The 21,814-nt window shown below is 49.8% G+C and overlaps 1 protein-coding gene and 1 long non-coding RNA gene across 3 annotated transcripts in view, besides 5 other annotated features; one reads left to right on the top strand and one right to left on the bottom strand.

Annotated features, from left to right (window-relative positions):
• CABP1 (calcium binding protein 1) overlaps positions 1 to 9,077 on the bottom strand; it is a 40,241-nt gene extending 31,164 nt beyond the window's left edge. For both annotated transcript variants that reach the window (XM_017020235.2, NM_001033677.2), the window contains exon 1: positions 8,364 to 9,077. In XM_017020235.2, coding sequence (XP_016875724.1) covers positions 8,364 to 9,017 — 654 coding nt within the window. In that variant the 5' untranslated portion in view covers positions 9,018 to 9,077. The remainder of the gene's footprint in view (positions 1 to 8,363) is intronic.
• Positions 8,098 to 8,197: a silencer, noted in NCBI's record as "silent region_4960". NCBI's record gives its function as "represses an Ori minimal core promoter by ATAC-STARR-seq in GM12878 lymphoblastoid cells {active_cell/tissue: GM12878}" and the evidence as "EXISTENCE:reporter gene assay evidence [ECO:0000049][PMID:35858748]".
• Positions 8,418 to 8,587: a silencer, noted in NCBI's record as "silent region_4959". NCBI's record gives its function as "represses an Ori minimal core promoter by ATAC-STARR-seq in GM12878 lymphoblastoid cells {active_cell/tissue: GM12878}" and the evidence as "EXISTENCE:reporter gene assay evidence [ECO:0000049][PMID:35858748]".
• Positions 8,598 to 8,697: a silencer, noted in NCBI's record as "silent region_4958". NCBI's record gives its function as "represses an Ori minimal core promoter by ATAC-STARR-seq in GM12878 lymphoblastoid cells {active_cell/tissue: GM12878}" and the evidence as "EXISTENCE:reporter gene assay evidence [ECO:0000049][PMID:35858748]".
• Positions 8,918 to 9,217: a silencer, noted in NCBI's record as "silent region_4957". NCBI's record gives its function as "represses an Ori minimal core promoter by ATAC-STARR-seq in GM12878 lymphoblastoid cells {active_cell/tissue: GM12878}" and the evidence as "EXISTENCE:reporter gene assay evidence [ECO:0000049][PMID:35858748]".
• On the top strand, positions 9,181 to 20,092 carry CABP1-DT (CABP1 divergent transcript). The gene is made up of 2 exons (NR_183426.1): positions 9,181 to 9,653; positions 19,207 to 20,092. It is a non-coding gene; the product is annotated as a CABP1 divergent transcript (long non-coding RNA).
• Positions 10,689 to 11,190: an enhancer, noted in NCBI's record as "NANOG hESC enhancer chr12:121076316-121076817 (GRCh37/hg19 assembly coordinates)". NCBI's record gives its function as "activates a minimal SCP1, AML or CMV promoter by ChIP-STARR-seq in naive H9 embryonic stem cells {active_cell/tissue: H9 hESC(naive)}" and the evidence as "EXISTENCE:reporter gene assay evidence [ECO:0000049][PMID:30033119]".
• Positions 20,093 to 21,814: the final 1,722 nt, after the last annotated feature.

Genomic DNA, 21,814 nt, shown 5'->3' with positions numbered 1-21,814 from the left:
GAGGGGAGCATGACGGAGGCAGCGCAGGCAGAGAGGGCATGAGCAAAAGGTCTCTGAACCTCCTCCTCCTCGCCCCCTGCCTCATCCACAGCAAAGACCTCTCCCCAGCTTCCTTGGGGTGCCGGGCAGAGAAGAAGCCCTTTACGAAGCGCTCTTCGAGGTCCCACAGCTGGAGCTTTTTAGATGACTGGCTCTTCCTCGTCCCTCCAGGGTCGGCTTTGATATGAATTCATCTCACGCCTCAGATGTCCGGTTTGAGACCTACAGCCCCAGCCAGATTCCCCGCGTGCAAGTGTCCCTGTTTCCTGCACCCAGCTTTTTCCAGCAGGGGGCACCAGAGATAGACTGGAAGCAGAACTCCTCCCAAGCCCATTCTTGCACGCTAGCTCAGTTTTCAGCCCGGAGAGCCTCCTTTCCCAGGAACTTTTCTCCCGTGTGGGGGGGCTGCTCAGAACTCCTGTTAGGAAGATGGGTGGGGGCGCTGCCCAGAGGGTGCTCACTCCTAGGGAGCTGGGAAGGAGGTCCCTGGATAACTCCTGGACCTCCCCGGTGCTGCTGCTGACAACCACGCAATGGTTTAATCAGGGGAGTTACTCAGCAGCCTTGTTTGGGCCAAACCTCTGGAGGGGGAGATGGAGGAGGAGGAGCCTGGGGGGCGGGTATTGATGACTAAAGAACAGAAAAGAGGGTGATGATGCGTGTCTCCTGGAAACAGCATGAAGGAAGCAGGCCCAGGCAGGGGTCAGTGGACTCCAATGAATGGGAAGGACGGGGAGGTCTGGGGTTGAGTCTAGCTCTGCCAGCTTCTTTTTTTTTTTTTTTTAGACAGTGTCTTGCTCTGTTGCCCAGGCTGGAGTGCAGTGCCGCAATCTCAGCTCACTGCAACCTCTGCCTCCTGGGTTGAAGCGATTCTCCTGGCTCAGCCTCCCGAGTAGCTAGGATTACAGACGCACAACTTCATGCCTGGCTAATTTTTGTATTTTTAGTAGAGATGGGGTTTCACCATGTTGAACAGGCTACTCTTGAACTCCTGACCTCAGGTGATCCACCTGCCTTGGCCTCCCGAAGTGCTGGGATTACAGACATGAGACACCATGCCCAGCGCTGCCAGCTTCTGACTGGGTGGCTGCCTCCCATTCCTGAACTTCAGTTTCCGCCACTGGAAAAATGGGGCTTTTCCTAGCTTGCTTATATAGCATACATGAGAAAGTGTAAGACACCGAATAGCTACTGGATCAGTAATTATTTAAATGGAAGAAAGAAGTATCACTTGTCCAGTGGAGAAATGTCAGGCACCGTGCTTGGCTCTGGGAACGTTGTTGGGGGATAAGAGAAACACAGTTCCTGATTTCAGGACGCTTACATTCTAGCAGGTGGGCAGGAGATATTAGAGCTGGGACACAGTTATCTGATTACATTTCAGATAAATGCTATGAAGGGAAAACACAAAAACTCTGGGAATGTGAGTGAGGGGAATCTGTCTGAGTCTAGGGGATCAGGAAAGACTTGCAGGCAAAATCTAGAAAATAGACCATATGTAGGTTCCTTTGAAACAATAGTGCTCACTAGGGACCCCAGAGGGAAGCTCAGGTTAAGGTCCAGGTATGAATGGGTGGATATATGTAAAGGCCAAAACAGCACAGCATAAAGCAGAGATTCTCAATGCTGGCTGTAGACTGGCATAACTGGGGAGCTTCCCCAGAAATTCTAACTTAATTCTGTCTCCAATGGGCACTGGGCATTGGTGTTGCTTAGTACTCCCAGGTAATTCTAACCTGCAGCCAGTGTTGGGAAGCACTGATGTAGAGGCTAAGAGCTTGGGGCGGGGCGTGGTGGCTCACACCTGTAATCCCAGCACTTTGGGAGGCATAGGCAGGTGGATCACCTGAGGTCAGGAGTTCGAGGCCAGCCTGGCCAACGTGGTGAAACGCTGTCTCTACTAAAAAAAAAAAAAAAAAAATACAAAAGTTAGCTGGGCGTGGTGGCAGGTGCCTGCAGTCGCCGCTACTCGAGAGGCTGAGGCAAGAGAATCCCTTGAACCCGGGAGGCGGAGATTGCAGTGAGTCGAGATCGCGTCATTGCACTCCAGGCTGAGCGACAGAGTGAGACTTCATCTCAAAAAAAAAAAAAAAAAAAAAAAAAGGCTTGGACTGAGGAGTCACGCTGACTTGGATTCAAATCATATCCTGGGCCGGGCATGGTGGCTCACACCTGTAATCCTTGGAGGCCAAGGCAGGAGGATCATTGAGCCCAGGAGTTCGAGACCAGCCTGGACAACATAGTGAGACCTCATCTCTATTTAAAAAAAAAAAAAAAATCTTGTCTGCTGCTCAGTAACCATGTGGCCTAGAGGACATGTTGATCTTTCTCGGCTTCAGTTTCTTCATTTATAAAATAGGGATTCTAATAGCACCTCCCACAGGGCTCTTGTGAGGAGCTAATGAGATAATACATGCAAAGGGCTTGGCACTGTGCCAAGCATCTAGAAAGCGCCGTCTTCCCCTGCCCAGCATTGGTATTAAAGGGCCAAGCGTGGCATCCATTTATTCAGCAGGGCATCAACTCAGTCAAATCTGGTGGTTCCTGCCCCCTGCAGGCCAGTCCGGGCATAGCACCCACTTGTCGACCTTGGGATATGCCTCTGTCGTTGGAAACAGGAGACAGGAGCCGGCAAAACCTGGTCCCTATGGAAAAATCACACACTTTGAAGAAATCCCATCCTGCTTTGGGGGCAGGTGCAGGAGCTGATACTACCTTGAGGTTTGAGGATAGCAAGGGATCCAGGGATTTCGACGTGCTTTAAAGCTTACTTAAGCTAACTTGAGCCGGGCAGATAGGCAGGAGGGACAGAGGGCTCAGCCTTCAGTAGGAAATTTTAAAAGGGCTGAACAGCTGGGTATGGCGGCTTATGCCTGTAATCCCAGCACTTCAAGAGGCTGAGGTGGGAGGATCAGTTGAGGCCAGGAGTTCAAGACCAGCCTGGGCAACATAGCAAGACCCCATCTCTATTAAAAATTTTAAAATTAGCCAGGCATGGCAGCTGTGCCCCTGGTCATAGATACTCAGGAGGCTAGGGCAGGAGGATCACTTGAGCCCAGGAGTTTGAGGCTGCAGTGAGCTATGATTGTACCCTGCACTCCAGCCTGGGTGACAGAGCAAGACCTTGTCTCTTCAAAACAAAACAAAAAACAAAAAAGGCTGAACGGTGGGGGCTTCCTGTAAGGAGTGAAGCATGTTGTATGCCCTCACCTCCCATCTCTATCCACTGTGGCAGCAGCCCTTGGGCCTCCGGAAGCCCTACTTTGAGTGCTGGAATGGAATGATAGGATCAGAGGGATGAGAAGGATAAACTCATTGCTGATTATTCCTGATTAGAAGGGAGGCTGGCCTTTGGCGCTGGTCAGTTCTATCACCAGCATTTGAACTATCACCAGCCTTTGAACTTGGATGACAGCCCGGTACTAAGACACTCAGGGAAAGCTGGACTGTAACGTGAGAGGTGCTTTGCAGATGCTTCTGACGAACAGGGAACACACTTATGTGACCTCCCACCAAAGCAGCATGGCACACACAGAACAGGCAGGTATTTTCGGAGGCAGGCAGACCACAATTCTCAGCACAGTCCTGCCACCTACTTATTTACTTATTTTTAGAGACAGGGTCTCACTCTGTCACTGTGGCTAGAGTACAGTGGTGCAATCATAGTTCACTGCAGCCTCAAACTCTTGGGCTCAAGCAATCCTCCTGACTTGGCCTCCCAAAGTGCTGCAATTACAGATGTGAACCACTACACCTGGCCCTGCCATGTACTTACTATATGACCTTTGGACAAGTCATTTCCTCTCTCTTGAGCCTTCCTCATTTCTTTTTTTTCCAGACAGAGTCTTCCTCCGTCACCCAGGCTGGAGTGCAGAGGCACAATCTCAGCTCACTGCAACCTCCACCTCCTGGGTTCAAGCAATTCTCATGCCTCAGCCTCCCGAGTAGCTGGGGTTACAGGCGCCCACCACCACACCCAGCTAATTTTTGTATTTTTAGTAGAGATGGGTCTCACTGTGTTGGCCTGGCTGGTCTCAAACTCCTGACCTCAAGTGATCCACCCACCTTGGCTTCCCAAAGTGCTGGGATTACATGTGTGAGCCACTGTGCCTGGCCAAGCCTTCCTCATTTCTAAAATTGTTGTGGTGGGGTTGGGGGGAGTTGATGATGCTAACCTTCACAGGTAGCTGTGAAGATAAGAAGACACTTTGTCCACTGTGCAGTGGGCTCTAGACTGAGGCCTCAAGTGCTATTGTTGCCTCTCAAAAACAGCTGGAGGTAAAGGCTGACCTCCTGGAGGCTCTCACTGAACTGACTCCAAGCCACTCCTATCACCTGTGGCTGATGTTAACCACAAGCTGACCCTCACTTTCCCTCTCCCCAGGCCCCAGAGAAAGCCTATAGGGGCTCCAAGCCCTCTCAGAGAGAAGGAGGGAGACACATGACTGGAGTAGGAGTGAGGAATAGACACAGCCCTATCTTAGGAACCTAGGCTTAGTGCAATTAAATCCATGACCCAAACCACCATGGCCTCTCTCCCCATCTCAACCACAGGAACTGGCCGGGCGTGGTAGCTCACTCCTGTAATCCCAGCACTTTGGGAGGTTGAGGCGGATGGATCACTTGAGGTCAGGAGTTCGAGACCAGCCTGGCCAACGTGGTGAAACTCCATCTCTACTAACAATACAAAAATTAGCCAGGTGCGGTGGCAGGCACCTGTAATTCCAGCTATTCAGGAGGCTGAAGCACGTGAATGGCTTGAATCTTGGAGGCAGAGGTTGCAGTGAGCCAAGATCATACCACTGCACTCTAGTCTGGGTGACAGAGTGACACTGTGTCTCAAAATAAACAAACAAACCACAGGAGCTAAGGAAGCCTCTGAAGTCCGGAGGCTGGTGATACCATTCATTCACTCATTCATTCATTCATTAAATACTGTGATCCTGCTATGTGCAAAGCAGTATGGGAACAGGGATAGCCTATCTGTATTAGGAGACGTGTTTCTACAGCTGGAAAAATGGGAAGGATGGGACAGAGCTGTGGGTTTTATCCACATTTGCCTCCTCCACAAGGCATGTTTCTTCTCAAGCTCAGGGTAAGGAGCAGAAAGCCTGTTTCTTAAAATAGTCTTCCAAGACCTAAAGCCCCATGTCATCATGCCTCTGCCGAGTTAATTTCTGACATCACATCTTCTCTAGACAGCTGGGTGGCATGTCCTTAGCTGGCCACAAAGAGGGAGTACGGAAGATCCTTTGACATTCAGCTCCTTCCCTTAATAGCCATCCTCACCTGGCTCAGAATCAGCTTTCAAAGTACCTTACCCAGGCCCTCATTCAATTACCCTATTAATAATAGCAATAACATTAATGAAGGCTGCCCTTTATCCAGCACTCACTATGAGCCAGGCATTTGATATCCTTAATCTTGTGTAAGCCTCCTAATAACTGCAAAGCAGTTTTTGTCAATCTCATTCCTGGATGAAGAAACCAAGACCAGAGAGAGAAAATAACATGCCCAAGGACACAGAGATCGAAAGTGACAGAGCCAGGATTAGAACTTGCATCTCTGCTGTCTCCCAAGCCACCATTCCACACCTTAGCCTCAAAACCACGCTGTCTCCATGCATATGCAATAAGGATGCTCTATGAGGTCACTGGGAGAGTTTTCATCCCTGTTTCCTTTAAGGTAGGAATTCATCTTTGTGCCTTCAGTGTGATTCTGAACACTGGCTCTCTGAGACTATTACAAATGAAAAGGAAGAAGGCCTTGGTAGTTAATCAACAATAACAACAAAGAAGAAGAATAACTAACACTGATAGAGTTAGCAAGGGCTCCGTGCCAGGCCTGGGCCAAGCTCTCTCTATCTCTCCGTATCTCATTTAATCTCCCAAGCACCCTGATGATCCCTACATTGCAGGTAAAGAAATAGACTTGGCCAAGCACGGTGGCTCATGCCTGTCATCCCAGCACTTTGGGAGGCTGAAACAGGTGGATCACTTGAGCCCAGGATTTCCAGACTGCCCGGGCAACATAGTGAGACCCTGTCTCTATTATAAAATATATTTTTTAAAAAAGAAATAGACTTAATGAGGTTAAGCAATTCACTTAAGTTAAAAACAAATGAAACTTGGGGAGTCATGAAAAATATACTTCCCCAGGGCTGTATTTTTCTCTAAGCAGATCTTAACTAAAAGTTTCTGTATTCAGAACCCCATCTGCCTTCTCTTGGTTCTGACCCTGCCTCTAAGGACAGAAATCTCAATACGGAGAAAAGGGAAGAAAAGATTAATTCCTCTCTGTCACAGGAGACTGGAGGCTCTGACACGAAAGTCCCAGCCTGGGTTTGCTGTTGTTGCTCACGTAGATGACTTCGAGGTGTCAGATGGAAGCCCAAACTGAATGTGCTGGGCTTTAAAGTAAAAGCCCGCAGCTGAGAGGCAAGAGCTTCCACAGGGAGGTAGTAAATATTTGATGGGAACTTCCAGCTCCTCCTGACTCAGGTGACCCTGGTGACATTTCAGAACATTGGGCCGGAGAATTCACTTAATGACTGAGAAATTAGAAGGAGAAACAAAAGCACGTCGCTACAATGCTCGGAGCTCAGAAAGGGCTCATGTAGGCAAATTCTGCAAGACAGGAAAGAAAGGACTCTTTTTTTTTTTTTTTTTCAGGAGCTGAGTCAGATCAGCTGCAAACTGAGTAACCAGAAAGTGTATGATTCTAGGCCAATGACCTACCCTTCCAAACTGCTAGGTACAGCCAGGGCCCTGGCTATCTGGTTCACTGTTGTCTTCCTGGTGTCTAGCAAATGTCTGAACAAACAAACCACAGGAACTAAGGAAACCCCTGAAGGTTTCCTTAATAAATGCTCAAGAAATAATTGATAAATGAATGAATTGGTATCACCCATTCAACAACCCAGCATTCCTGCTGCAACCCAGCCCCAATCCAAAGACCACTCGTGCCCTGGCAGCCTACACCTCCTCATTAACACAAAGCACTGCAGTGAACTCCCCTGACACATCGCCTCACTAACTCTCACGGCTCTGCATCCACATCTCTACTCCAGAGAACTGTTTCCAGCTAACTCGGCTAACGAGGGCTCCCTGCAGGAACAAAGCCACACACCACTGCCCTATGGCCCCACCACAGCAGCACCACGCAACCCAAATCCATGTGCGGCTGCCTTCATGTCAGACCTCCACCAGCATCAGCCACTGCCGAGTAGTATTTTGAAAAGAAATGTGCAGATCTGAAGCAAAACACACAGGGCCTCCTTGGAATTCTGATCCGGCGTGGCAAGCCAGGAGCTTGAAACAGCTTCTTTATGCTAGATCTCAGCACAGAAAGGCACAGCCCCCCCTGTTTCCCTACAAACCACGCAAACGCTCTAATCAGACCTCTGCATGACACCTCTCGGAGGCTGCCACAGAACTGTCTCAAAGCTGTGCCAATGAGTTTGACTTGATTACAGACTCCGAACTAGGGGAAACCCTGGCTTTTTTGCTCAGGAGTTCAGAGGTTTCCTTCTACTGAGCCTGTTTCCCCAGCAGCACAGCCTCAAACTGTAGACCTATATTGTGACTACGGAGCTGCTTTTAAAGGGCAGGCTCCCAGGTGCCTGGGACTCTTGAGGGAAAGGCCTGAGGGAACCACTGATGACCTCTTTGTGGCCTTTCTCACCCTTCCAATGGCATCCCTAGAGTGACAGCCTCCTTAAACCACCCCAAAGTTCCAGTTTGAGCCACAGCTCTGCATGCCCCTCCATGCCTACCCAGACACCTCTTCTCTTTCCTCATATTTTTGGATCTCCTAACTTTTCTCAGGCCTTCAGGGACATGATAGGCAGTGGCCAGTGTCCCTCGCCCTCAAGTAATTCTGTGTTCTCTGAGGTCCCCTCTCTTGACCCCCAGACTCCAAACCGCTTGCTCTCCTGAGTCCCTCCCTGGCGGTACTGGCCAGAGGCCAGAGGAGTGGGTTTGGCGCCACCTGCTCGGAGCGCCCCTCCTTGACCCCCGCAAATCTCCAGGACGGTCGTAGAGGTCGCTCTCTTCCAGGACTGGCGGGTTCTGGCGGGTATGAGGGAGGCTAGCGGGGAGGGCCTTGCCCCAAGAGGCCCGGAGCGTGGACAGCGCACGGGGTGCTGAATCAGGCACGGGGAGGAGGAGTGCCGGCAAGGGCGCCGGCCCGGGGAGGACGAGGTGAGCCGAGGCGTGATCCGTGGGGGACCACGGGCCGCGGGAGGAGGCTGTGGACGCGCAACCGCGGCCGGCAGGGTCCCGAGCGCCTTTCCCGGGAGCGCTGACGGGAGGCGCGGCCCTTACCTGGCCAAAGGCGGAGCTGAGCATGGGGCGCAGCCGGTGGAGGAACGGGTCCGCCTCGGACGCGGCGGCTGGAACGGAGTCCCCGCGGCCCCGGGCTCGCAGAGAGCCCCGGAGGCCGAGCGCCGGGGACAGTCCCCGTTCCTCCCCATCCCGCCCGCGGGCCGGCGGCAGCGGCGACGACGGCGAAGGTCGGGACGCCGCGGCCGGCAGCGCCTCCCGGGGCCTGCAGTGCGCCTGGGGGAGCACACGCTGGCTCCCCCGCGCGCCCTCCTCTCGCGGCGCCGGCCGGCACAGGGGCCTCCGCGAACTGGGGTCCCCGGACGACTGCGGCGTCGCCGGGCAGGAGCCGGGTAGCCGGCGGCTAGGCAGCCCCGGGTCCCGGGCAGGGCCGTGGCGGGGAGCCCGGCTGCCCCCGCTCGCCGCCGCCGCCGCCGCCTTCAGCAGCGACGTCTTGGACTCGCTTTTGGCGATGTGCGAGCTCATCGCGGCGGGGCCCGCGCTCGCATGGCCCGGCGGGGGCGGCGCGGTGCGGCGCGGCGCGGGGCCCCCGGCGGGCAGAGAACGGGGCTCCCGGCGGGAGCCAAGCCCGAGGACGCGCTGGAGGCGGGCGCCGTCCCCCGGCCGCTTAAATGCGGCCCCGTCGCCGCCGCCCATGTGACAGCGCAGCCTCTACGCCCGGAGCCCGGAGCTCCCGGCGGCTGGCGGTGCAGATCTGGGGGCGCTGCCGGCTGTCCCCGGAGAGCCCACCCCCGGCTCCCTGGCGGCCCAGGTACCGCCGCGCCCCGCCCCTTGCCCCGCCCCGCCCTGGGGGAGCCCCGCTTCCGGGCGGCCCCTGGCGGCGAAGGGGACGCTGCAACGCGGAGCGGGAGCACGAGGAGGGAAGGGGCTTGGCAATGGGCCCCAAAGAGGCCGAGACCCCGGGAGTGCCGGCAGCGCTCTTTATCACGCCTGGAGGCTCCTGCAGAGCCCCGGAACCGCCCGAACCTCCAGAAATGCAGGCAGGGTGCACTCCCCAGGGGGTACAACTTTGGCAATGAGGACTACAGAGGTCCGGGGAGAACCGGAGACCCGAGGAGCATGAAGGCACTCTGTGACATCACTGCCTACAAACGCAGGGGCCGGAATGCAGTGACAGGACACTGCTGGGAGGAAAGTCTCCCAGCGCCTCCGTGTGGGGCTGCCTCCACTCCCAATACCGTGCGGGGGGACTAGGACGACCCTGGTAAGTCAGCCACAGGATATCAGTTCTCAGAATAGAAGAGAAGCCAGGTCTGGCAGCACCTGATGATGGTAAGTCTCAGGTAGGACCCATTTGCTCCCCCTCCAGCTCTTGTCCCCTCTTTCACCTTCCTGCCTTTCTAGATGCTACAGAAATTCCTGCTCTCGGTGGGCAGCCAGGGAGCGTCCCAGGCCTTATCTGAATCTCAAATCCCAGCTCTGCCACCTACCATCTGGGTAACTTGGGCAGGTGTCATCAACCTCTCTGAGCCTTGTTCTCCTCTTCTGTAAAATGCAGATGATAAGCATAACTAATTTCTTGGTAACAGCAGACGATACTATGCACACAAAAGGCCTAGCCCAGTGCTCGGACAGGGGACCATCCAGTTAAGCCAGTTCCCTTCCCCCTGCACATCGTGAGGCCCCATCTACCATTCTTCTTTAGTATCCGGTGCTTGAGCTTTGCGGGGGGCTGGAGGGGTTCCTCCCAGGCTCTCCCTGTTCTGGTCCCTGGCCCCAATGCCATCCACAGTCTTGTCACCGCTCGGCCTCATTAAAAGGATACACGAGGCCGGGCACAGTGGCTCGCACCTGTAATCCCAGCACTTTGGGAGGCCAAGACCGGCGGATCACTTGAGGTCAGGAGTTCGAGACCAGCCTGGCCAACATGGTGAAACCCTGTCTCTACTAAAAATACAAAAATTAGCCAGGCGTGGTGGTGGGCGCCTGTAATCCCAGCCACTTGTAGGCATGAGAATAACTTGAACCCGGGAAGTGAAAGTTGCAGTGAGCCGAGATTGGGTCACTACACTCCAGCCTGGGCAACAGAGTGAGACCCTGTCTCAAAAAAAAAAAAAAAAAAAAAAAAAAAGAAGGGTACACAAACAGATTGCCGATATTACACTTCACTCATGCCAAGAGTTCATCCTTCTCTGCACTGTCTGCTTCTTTACAGAGTGTTGCTCTGTCACCAGGCTGGAGTGCAGTGGCACGATCTCGGCTCACTGCAACCTCTGCCCCCCAGGTTCAAGCGATTCTCCTGCCTCAGCCTCCCGAGTAGCTGGGATTACAGGCACCCGCCACCACACCCAGCTAATTTTTTGTATTTTTAGTAGAGATGGGGTCTCACCATGTTAGCCAGGATGGTCTCGATCTCCTGACCTCATGATCTGCCCGCCTTGGCCTCCCAAAATGCTGGGATTACAGGCGTGAGCCACCGCGCTGGGCCCTGTGTGCCTCTTTTACTTATCCATAGGCAAGGAATTAAGGAAAATGGATGGGCTGGGAAAGCAACTGCCCAGAGGCTAAAGTAAACTAGGAAAGTGTGGCAAATTGTTCCCCAGATCAGCTACCCTTAAGGGACTGAATTGCCATATCAAAGCCACTCAGGTTCCTAAAGCCCAAATCCTGAAGCAGCCTGGGGCGTTGCAGCCCTGAAGGCTCATTGCAGGGTCCTCTGGGATATGCAGGGTGTAATGAGTCCACCCTTTGAGTTCGAGGTCAGTCAATGTCTTACCTGCTCCAGCCCTCAGAATAATCAGTGTTTGGCAGGATTAAAAACAAAGGCACATTCAATATAAATCACAGGAGATAAAGAACCTTATCAGAAACCCTCAGGAGCCAATGAGAGGCAGAGGACTGCTGGGTATTCTAAATCCCTGCTGTGCCACTGTTGGTAACCTTTCTGAAATGCCCTAAATATTTTTGGGCAAGACCTCGGTCACCAACTAGTTTTTGAAAAACTGAAGAATCTGATTATGTTACCTATGATTACTAGAGTAAATAAATAAAAATTATGTCCATGAAGCAAATGGATGAAACACCTTCACTCATATCCCAGATAATCCTGGATGTATGCCAGGATTCCATTTCATTTGTAAAGTGTATTAATTTGGTCACTTATTTGACAAATATGTATCCAACCAGGCACTGCAGTAGTCATCTTGGATACAAAGATTGATCCATTCATTCAACAAATAATTGAGTGCCTGTTATCTGCCAGGCAGTGTTCTAGGTACCAGGGATATGATAGCAAACAAAATGGTCTCTATCCTCAGCAACAAATAAACAAATACATAAACGCATGGAAAAGTAATGGTGACAAACTGGTGGTGTTTCTGCCATGGGGAGAAATAAAGCAGGTAAGAGACTAGGGTTTAACGGGCGGTGCTATTTTATTTATTTATTTAATATTTTTACATAGAGACAGGGTCTTGCTATGTTGGCCAGGTTGGTCTTAAACTCCTGACATCAAGCAATCTTCCCACCTCGGCCTCCTAAAATGCTGGGATTACAGGCATGAACCACTGTGCCCAACTTAGGGTGCTCTTTTAGAGAGCGATTAGGGAAGGCCTCTCTGCAGAGGGAATATCTGAGTAGAAACTCAAATGAAGTAAAGGAGGAAGTCATGTATATATCTGGGAGAAGAGCTTCCCTGGCAGAGGGAGGCTGTTCAAAAGCCCTGAGGAGGGAATAGCTTGGCATGTTCCAGGAGAAGCGGAGATAAAGGAGGCTGGAGTGAGCGAGGGGGAAAGTAGGAGAGATGAAACTGGAGAGGAGGCCGGGCATGGTGGCTCAAGCCTGTAATCCCAGCACTTTGGGAGGCCTAGGCGGGTGGATCACGAGGTCAGGAGATCGAGACCATCCCGGCTAACACGGTGAAACCCCGTCTCCACTAAATATACAAAAAAAAAAAAAAATTAGCCGGGCGTTGTGGCGGGCACCTGTAGTCCCAGATACTCGGGAGGCTGAGGCAGGAGAATGGCGTGAACCCAGGGGGCAGAGCTTGCAGTGAGCCGAGATCGCGCCACTGCACTCCAGCAGCCTGGGTGACAGAGCGAAACTCCGTCTCAAAAAAAAAAAAAAAAAAAAAAACAGAAACTGGAGAGGAAAGCAGGAAAGCAGGGGCCAAAAATGTCAAGGCTTTGGGTTTCCTCTAAGTGTGAAGGGAAGCCACTGGTGGGTTTGCAGCAGTGGGTGGCATATGATAGTTGACATTATTAAAGCACCACTGGGGCCAGGTACAATGGCTCATGCCTGTAACCCCAGCACTTTGGGAGGCCAAGGCAGGAGGAATCGCCTGATGTTAAGAGTTCAAGACTAGCCTAGGCAACATGGTGCAACCTCATCTCTACCAAAGAAATATATACAAAAATTAGCCGGGCTTGCTGGCATGAACCTGTAGTCCCAGCTACTTGGGAGTCTCAGGTGGGAAGATGGCTTGGGCCCTGGAGCCAGAGACTGCAGTGAGCTAAGATCCCACCACTGCACTCCAGCCTGGGCAAAAGAGCCAAACCCTGTCTCAAAAAAAAAAAAAGGCAGAGGGTCAGGGGAGAAAACCAACTAAACTATAATGGGAAACGTGTAATAAGGGGATTATGAGCTAAGTTATATGGGAGAACCCTAAGGGGAGCTAGAGAAAGCATTAGAGGATGTCACATTTGAGCTGCTTTTTGAAGAATAAGTGAAATTCCATCAGATGAATAAGGAGGGCCAAAGGAAGGTCATGCCAGGCAGGGGACATAGATTAAGTCAGGGTTGGGAGTGTGAACCTGCATGGCGTGCTTGGGAATCATTTGGCGATTGAAGGGGGAGGGAAAATGAGGGCTGGGAAATGGGCCTAGAAGGGTGGTTTGGAACTAGACCATGAAAGATCTTGAGTGTGACATTCAGCAGTTTGTACTTTATTTTATTGGCAATGGAGAATGCTTGAAGGTTTTGTGAGCTTGTGTAGGATGCAAGCAGAACTGTGTTTTTGAAATGATGCTTCAAAATGCAATGCAAAATGCAAGCAGAACTGTGGTTTTTTTTGGTTTTTGCTTTTTGTTTTTGAGATGGAGTCTCACTCTGTCACCTAGGCTGGAGTGAAGTGGTCCAACCTCCGCCTCCCAGGTTCAAGCAATTCTCCTGCCTCAGCCTCCCGAGTAGCTGGGATTATAGGTGCCCGCCACCATGCCCAGCTAATTTTTCTTTTGTATTTTTAGTAGAGACAGTTTTTCACCAGGTTGGCCAGGCTGGTCTCAAAACTCCTGACCTCAAGTGATCCACCCACCTTGGCCTCCCAAAGTGCTGGGATGACAGGCGTGAGCCACCGCGCCCGGCCCAGAACTGTGTTTTTGAAATGATGCTTCAAAAATGCAATGCAAAAAATACATTGTCAGGTGGGCTGGAAGGAGACTGAAGGCAAGACCAATGAGGTTCATTCGCTTAACAGACATTACTGAATGCCCACCAAGGACTAGGCCTCAGGAATAGAATAGTTAACAAGTGAATATTATACCTTTCTTCATGGACTTTAAGTCTGGTGGGGAGAACATGAGGACTAATTTCAGAGGCTGGGTCAGATCCAGGAATATTCCAGAAATGCCATCACTAAGACATGGAAAATCCTGAATGTGGAAAATGAGAATGGCTTGCCTCACTGATTGTGAGATACAGCGGAAATCCAGTTGCTTCAAAGTATCCTGCCATGTAAAAACGATTTTAAAAGAATCTTTTTGGATTGTATATACCTTTACAGCTTTAAAAGCACTTTCACGGCCAGGCACGGTGGCTCGAGCCTGTAATCCCAGCACTTTAGGATGCCAAGGCGGGAGGATCACCTGAGGTCAGGAGTTCGGGACCAGCCTGGCAAACATGGTGAAATCCTGTCTCTACTAAAACTACAAAAATTAGCCGGGTGTGGTGGCGGGTGCCTGTAATCCCAGCTACTCCGGAGGCTGAGGCAGGAAAATCGCTTGAACCTGGGAGGCGGAGGTTGCAGTGAGCCAAAATCGTGCCATTGCACTCCAGCCAGGGCGACAGTGTGAAACTCCAGCTCAAAAAAAAAAAAAAAAAAGCTCTTTCACATAAAGCCTCTCATTTGCCTTTAGGTGTTACACAAATTGTAATTATTAAATAATTACCTGTTGTTATATTATTTGACTGTATAATCATTGGTGAAAACTAGGCAGAAAAAGAGCTGTTTTGCAGCACTGGAAAGGCATCTCAGCATACAAGGGCAGTGAAACAGAAAAGGTGGGTTTGGGAGGACTGCATCAGTGCAGAGAGAACAGTGTGTTTAGCTGTCTTTATGCCTCATTTCTAAGAGAATCCATCCAGAAAGAGTAAGAGCAAAACTCCTAAAGTGTACCTGGATCTCTCATTTAACAGATCGCAGTTTGATGATGCCATGTCCCTGTAGCAAACTCCTTTAAACATTGTTGTTTCCTCACCAAGACTGTATGTCATGTTTAGAGTCTTGAAAAAGGTTGTGGAGCATTTACACGGTGGTGCTTGAATTCATTCTCTGTGACGTTCTTTGTCTAACTTGTTCCTTTCTGCTATTGTCAGAATCAAATTTTGCACTTAATCTCCCCTTGTTTTCAGATGACAATATCTCTGTTATGTTTCAGAAAGCTGGGATTACAAAATGTTCTTAGAGTTTTAAGTCCTCTGTGTGATTGGGAAACTCAGGAAAGGATTGGATGAGATTTTAGAGGGTGGGGGTAATGGGTCAGTGGACTACATAGAGGATTCTTTTCCAGTAATCTGCCCTTGGACCCAAATGTTCATCACTTGAGAGGATGTCAAGATTTTTATTTTTCAAGACAAAGTCTCACTCAGTTGCCCAGGCTGGAGTTCAGTGGTGCCATCATAGCTCACTGGAGACTTGACCTCCCAGGCTCAAGCATTCCTCCCACCTCAGCCTCCCAAGCAGCTGGGACTATAGGTACATGCCAGCATGCCCACCTAATTTTTTTATTTGTAGTAGAGATGAAGTCTCACTCAGTTGCCCAGGTTGGTCTCAAACTCCTCAGCTCAAGCAGTCCTCCCACCTCAGCCTCCCAAAGTGCTGGGATAACAGGTGTGAGCCACCACGTCCAGCCTCCAAGATTTTTAAAATAAAAATGAAAAGGGTTTTTATGGGTTACAAGAATTTATGCCTGGGACTAGGCGCAGCAGCCCATGCCTGTAATCCCAGCACTTTGGGAGGCCAAGGCGGGTGGATCACTTGAGTCAGGAGTTCGAGACCAGCCTGGCCAACATGGTGAAATCCTGGCTCTACTAAAAATACAAAAATTAGCTGGGTGTGGTGGCACATGCCTATAGTCCCAGCTACTTGGGAGGCTGAGTCAGGAGAATCACTTGAACCCAGGAGGCAGAGGTTGCAGTGAGTGGAGATTGTGTCATTGCACTCCAGTCTGGGTGACACAGCAAGACTCAGTCTCAAAAAAAAAAAAAAAAAGCCTGGATCAAAACTGAACTGTACACTTAAGACTGTACATCTTACTGTGTATAAATAATAATTCAATAAAAAGAAAAATCAAACCATCAGGACAGATAGAGCAAAAATAATTAATACTGACAAGTACAACGGTTGACTGGACCTAATTTTTTTTTTTTTTTTTTTTTTTGAGACAGAGTCTCACTCTGTTGCCAGGCTGGAATGTGGTGGCTCGATCTCGGCTCACTGCAACCTCTGCCTCCTGGGTTCAAGCGATTCTCCTGCCTCAGCCTCCCAAGTAGCTGGGACTACAGGCACATGCCACCATGCCCAACTAATTTTTGTATTTTTAGTAGAGACAGGGTTTCACCATGTTGGCCAGGATGGTCTGGATCTCTTGACCTCATTATCTGCCTGTCTTGGCCTCCCAAAGTGCTGGGATTACAGGCATGAGCCACCGCGCCTGGCCTAATTTTTTTTTTTATTTGTGGTAGAGATGAGGTCTCGCTCAGTTGCCCAGGCTGGTCTCAAATTCCTTAGCTTAAAAGATCCTCCTACCTCGGCCTCCCAAAGTGCAGGGATTACAGTCATGAGCTACTGTACCCGGCCTCCATTTTTAACATAAAAATGAAAAGGTGTATGGGTTGCAAGAATACATGTATGGGTCAAAACTGAACTATACACTCAAGACTGTACATCTCACTGCATATAAATAATAACTCAATAAAAAGAAAAATCAAACCATCGGGACAGATAGAGCAAAAATAATTAATACTGACAAGTACAATGGTCGACTGGACCTTCTTAGGGGCATGAATTATGATTTTGGTGACTGAACTCACTTGGTTACTGAGGCAAAGGAGGGAATAAGCATTGATGAAGGAAATCCTGTCCCTTACAGATGACTGATGGGTCAGAAGTTACCGTCTTTTAAAAACAGTACACTTGGGGCCGGGCATGGAGGCTCACGCCTGTAATCCCAGCACTTTGGGATGCTGAGGCGGGCGGATCACCTGAGATCGGGAGTTCGGGACCAGCCTGACCAACATGGAGAAACCCCATCTCTGCTAAAAATACAAAATTAGCCGGGCATGGTGGCGCATGCCTGTAATCCCAGCTACTCAGGAAGCTGAGGGAGGAGAATTGTTTGAACCCAGGAGGTGGAGGTTGCTAAGAGCCAAGATCACGCCATTGCACTCCAGCAGCACACTTGGCCAGGCACAGTGGCTCATGCCTGTAATCCCAGCACTTTGGGAGGCCAAGGTGGGTGGATCACTTGAGGTCAGGAGTTTGAGACCAGCCTGACCAACATGGTGAAACCTATGTCTACTAAAAATACAAAAATTTGCCACACGTGGTGGCAGGAGCCTCTAATCCCAGCTACTCGGGAGGCTGAGGCACAAGAACCGCTTGAACCCGGGAGGCAGAGGTTGCAGTGAGCTGATATCCTGTCACGGCATTCCAGCCTCGGCGATAGAGCGTGACTCTGTCATAAATAAATAAATAAATACATAAATACATAAATAAATAGCACGCCTGACCTCCAAATGTTAGAACCTATCATCTCCATCATTCCTCATTCAGAATATTCCCCCCTATCTTTGCCTAATCCAGAGCAGTTCCCAACCTCTCGGAGATCCTCAATGGATGCAGGAAGTGGTCACCCCCTATGCTTTGCACCTTTAATACTGGTGCCATGCACCCCAGTGCTCTAACAGGGTAGATACATTCGATAAGTTGACCACACACCAGAAGCCACCCATGACATCTATGCAGTTTCCATGAGGCGAAATGCAACCCATGTTCAGGTGACCCCACCACATTCCAGCCACCGTGGCCTCCTTTATGGTCTGTCTTCCCACATCCCATTAAACTATATGTTCCATGAACGCAGAGACAAGCTCGATTTATACACATCCTGCACTTAGCACAGTGACCAAAACATAATAGCATGATAGGTGCTCACATGATATTATTTAGTGAATGAATAACAAATTTTTAAAAAGAAAACCATTATTGCTTTTTGTTTGTTTGTTTGTTTTGTGATGGAGTCTTGCTCTGTCACCCAGGCTGGAGTGCAGTGGTACAATCTCGGCTGACTGCAACCTCTGCCTCCCAGGTTCAAGCAATTCTCCTGCCTCAGCCTCCCAAGTAGCTGGGATCACAGGCGTGCACCACCACAGCTGGCTAATTTTTATATTTATAGTAGAGACGGGGTTTTGCCATGTTGACCAGGCTGGTCTCGAACTCCTGACCTCAGGTGATCCACCCACCTAGGCCTCCCAAAGTGCTGGGATTACAGGTGTGAGCCACCACACCTGCCCATTATTGCTTTTATAGAAATGAGTCCTCTATGCCTGGACCTAGTGCATGGGGGAGGGTGGCCATAAAAGAAGATGCTGCAGGGGCTCTGGTTCTCCTTCAGACAGCTCATTTCTGCTGCGTGCAAATACAACCTGGATCCTGAGTGACAGCAAGCATAAAGGTGTATGTGACCTTTAAGGACCAGGCATGTTTTTGCCACATGCAGGAGGGTTCTATGTTTTAATTGCCTGGAGGTTCCATCCAAAAGCAGTCAGCCAACAGTGCAGTCCGTGAGCAGTGCGGTTACATCTGTGGCACTGGGAGTGGTGCCTGGCCCTGCACCAAGAAGACCTACTGGTACTGCACGGTGAAAGCAAACTGGGTTCAGCAAAGGAAGCTCCCATTGCTGCATGGACAGGTAGAGCTCCTCATGAAATTGAATAAAATAAGACCCTCTCAACAGACTTTAAGTATTAGCAGAGGGACGGGAGCATGGGGAATTCAAAGATCCAACTCTTTACCCAGTAGTATGGAAGTATTTCAATATTTTAACAATTGAAAAGCAATACCAGAGCACATCAGCCACTTTCCAGTCCTAAATATTAGAACTCTGCCCACCACTCCTTTCCTTTGGATGCTGCCACTTCCAGATTTTTAAACAAGATGTATAGGCAGTACCTTTACTAGGACATCTCAGCATTGTGGTTCTGGCTGACAGGGCCTCCTTGCCAGGAGGCTCCTCACCTTACAGAGTTCTGAGATAATTTTCCCTTCGTAAGTGACATCACCGACCTGAAGGTGGACTCCAGGTAACTGCCCTATCTGGGGAACAATCATTTCTGAAGATATGTGACTCGCTGTTGGAGAAATTCAGAGACCTTATCAAGCAGATCTCTACTCTCCCAGCTCTGACACAGCCAGCCCTGTCCCTATGCTGTGTGTAACCCAGCAACAAAGATGTACACAGGGACCAGGCTGAAGGAGGGAGTCACCATTCTGAAGCTAAAAATCTCCAAAGATGCTCGGCCTTTAACGGAGGAGGGCTTTTAGAAAAAAATCCAGAAAATTCTCTGCCCTTTCAACTTCACTTTCTGTTCTCTTTTTATCTGCTTTCAGCATTTCCAATTAATCTTGGAATGAGAGCCGAGGGCAAGAAGCCAGCGGTGCCTGAGGGATGCTAAAGAGCCAACCGATCCAGGGAAACAAATGCCAGCGAGGGACCCCACAGCAAAGAGACAGACACTGTGAGCAACTCTCCTGTTACCATGAGGCTTGCGAGGCGTGTGTGCGGGTCTCCGCATTGGCACCATCTGCCAATTCCTCAGGAGGACAGAACAAACCAGTGAGGCATGAAGATTAGATTATGTAACGCTCGAGGATTGCTGTTTTCAAAGAGGAAACAAATGGAATGAATTGATTTGCTTGTCAAAGTCATGTCACTAAAGGAGATCTATTCCCTCCCCTTCTAAGAGGACCTCATTAAAGAGTGGAATGATTTCACAGATTCAGAAAATGTGAGACCACAATCCACTCCATTCATAAGAGCAAGTCCACTTTCCAGAGTCACACTCACACATTCTATTCTGGTCCCCGGGCCTGAAAAAATGTCCATCCAGCTACAACCTAAAGGGTACTGACCTGGTGAGGAACATAATTGTCAGCTGCTAGCCATAAGATTCAGAGCCGGAGGCCAGGCGTCATGGCTTATGCTGGTAATCCCAGCACTTTGGGAGGCCGAGGTGGGTGGATCATGTGAGGTCGGAAGTTCAAGACAGCCTGGCCAACACGGTGAAACCTCGTCTCTACTAAAAATACAAAAATTACCTGGGCGTGGTGGCACACACCTGTAACCCCAGCTACTTGGGAGGCCAACGCCTGAGAATCACTTGAGCCCAAGAGGCAGAGGTTGCAGTGAGCCAAGATCACACCACCGCACTCCAGCCTGGGGGACAGAGTGAGACGCTGTCTCAAAAAAATAAAAATAAAAAATCAGAACCTGTGAGTTTTGCCTGAACTTTCTTGCTTCTGGGGAAGCAGTGTCTCGTTCTGAGACCAGTGGGATTGTATTCACTATTCAGAGCTCTAAACAAGTGCTCTTGATAGAGGAGGGGTGTGTTCTTAAAAATATAGCATCAGAAAAAAAAAATATATATATATATGCATCAGGAAGGAAAATGCATTGATTTCTCAGAGTGCTTTGCCATTGCTGGGCTTCTCTCAAATGCCCAGCACAATACTTTTTCTAGTATCCTCAGGAGATCTGAGGAATGAACAAATGAGAACCCTGAACCTGCTGCCATAGTTCCATCCCTTAAGGTTTCACAGCCTCCCTAAGATACCAGGATTTAAATATCAAGTCTTTATCCAGGATGCAAATGAAGTCTCCTGTACCAGATAGTTTCCATTTGCCCTCCAGATCCACTCTTCCACCCTTCTCCGTGCTGCCCTTGGCCCTGGCGGGCTGACCTACATGGACTGCAGCAGCTCACTCTCCTGCCCTCTAGCTTCCAGGCGGGTACAGCCAATGGGAGCGGCAGCAGGAGATGGGAGGGCAGGAGGACAGCATGGGTGAAGTGTTTCTTTCCCCACTTCCCTCCTGCCAGATGGCCTTAGGTTGGTTGTGCCTTTTGATAAAAGGTCACCCCTCTTTCTCAAGGCAGCCTGCTCTACACAACTCTCTCTGGGTTCTGTCATTTCTCCCTCCCCTCAACCTTCAGATCTAAGAGTGGTAAAGGCCCCATGGCTACTGCACTATCCCTTATAGCTTCCCCACTTTCTGCTTCAACCTTGTAAATAGCCCATTTATTAAATATTCTTCTAATGATCTAATTTGAATGCGCCATCTGTTTCTTATACAGACCCTGCCTGACATACCTTTCACACGTGACAGTCTATTCTAGGCCCTACACCACGTTAAAAAGAAAAAGTAGGGCTGGGTGCAGTGGCTCATGTCTGTAATCCCAGCACTTTGGGAAGCCGAGGCAGGCGGATCACGAGGTCAGGAACTCGAGACCAGCCTGGCCAACATGGCGAAACCCCGTCTCTACTAAAAATACAAACATTAGCTGGGCATGGTAGCGGGTGTCTGTAATCCCAGCTACTCGGGAGGCTGAGGCAAGAGAACTGTTTGAACCCAGGAGGCGGAGGTTGCAGTGAGCCAAGATTGCGCCATTGTACTCCAGCTTGGGCAACAGGGGAGTCTCTGTCTCAAAAAAAAAAAAAGAAAAAGAAAAGTAGCAAAATTAACAATACAATATGCTACCACTTCATGTAGTTATTCTCAATGTTCACCTTTTCCCAAGGCTATAATAACAACTTAAAGATAAAACTTAATTCCCCTTTACAACATAATTGTGCAGTAGAGTTTGTATGAGCTACATATAATTCAGAGAACAAGCATTCTCATGCCATCAAAATTCATGTTAACAACTATAAAGAGAAAACCCTAGAATTGAGGCCCCTGACTTTCAATGTAGCAGAAAATATATTTCAGTATTTAAATCTATCTAACAGATATTTGAAAGTCTACTATATGTCCAGCAAGGTGGTGATCTTACAGTGGGGGAAAAACATGGACGTGGCCCCTGCCTTTTTGAAACTTAGTCTTGTTTTCTAAAATAAATATGCTTCTAGGCCGAGCTCAGTGGCTCACACCTATAATCCTAGCACTTTGGGGGTGCTGAGGTGGGAGGATTGCTCAGGCCCGGAGTTTGAGATCAGCTCA

The sequence above is a fragment of the Homo sapiens genome, chromosome 12, assembly GCF_000001405.40.
Source record: "Homo sapiens chromosome 12, GRCh38.p14 Primary Assembly".
Classification (NCBI taxonomy): Eukaryota; Metazoa; Chordata; class Mammalia; order Primates; family Hominidae; genus Homo; species Homo sapiens.
Note: the sequence above shows the minus strand (reverse complement) of the source record. Positions and strands in the feature narration are given on the sequence as shown.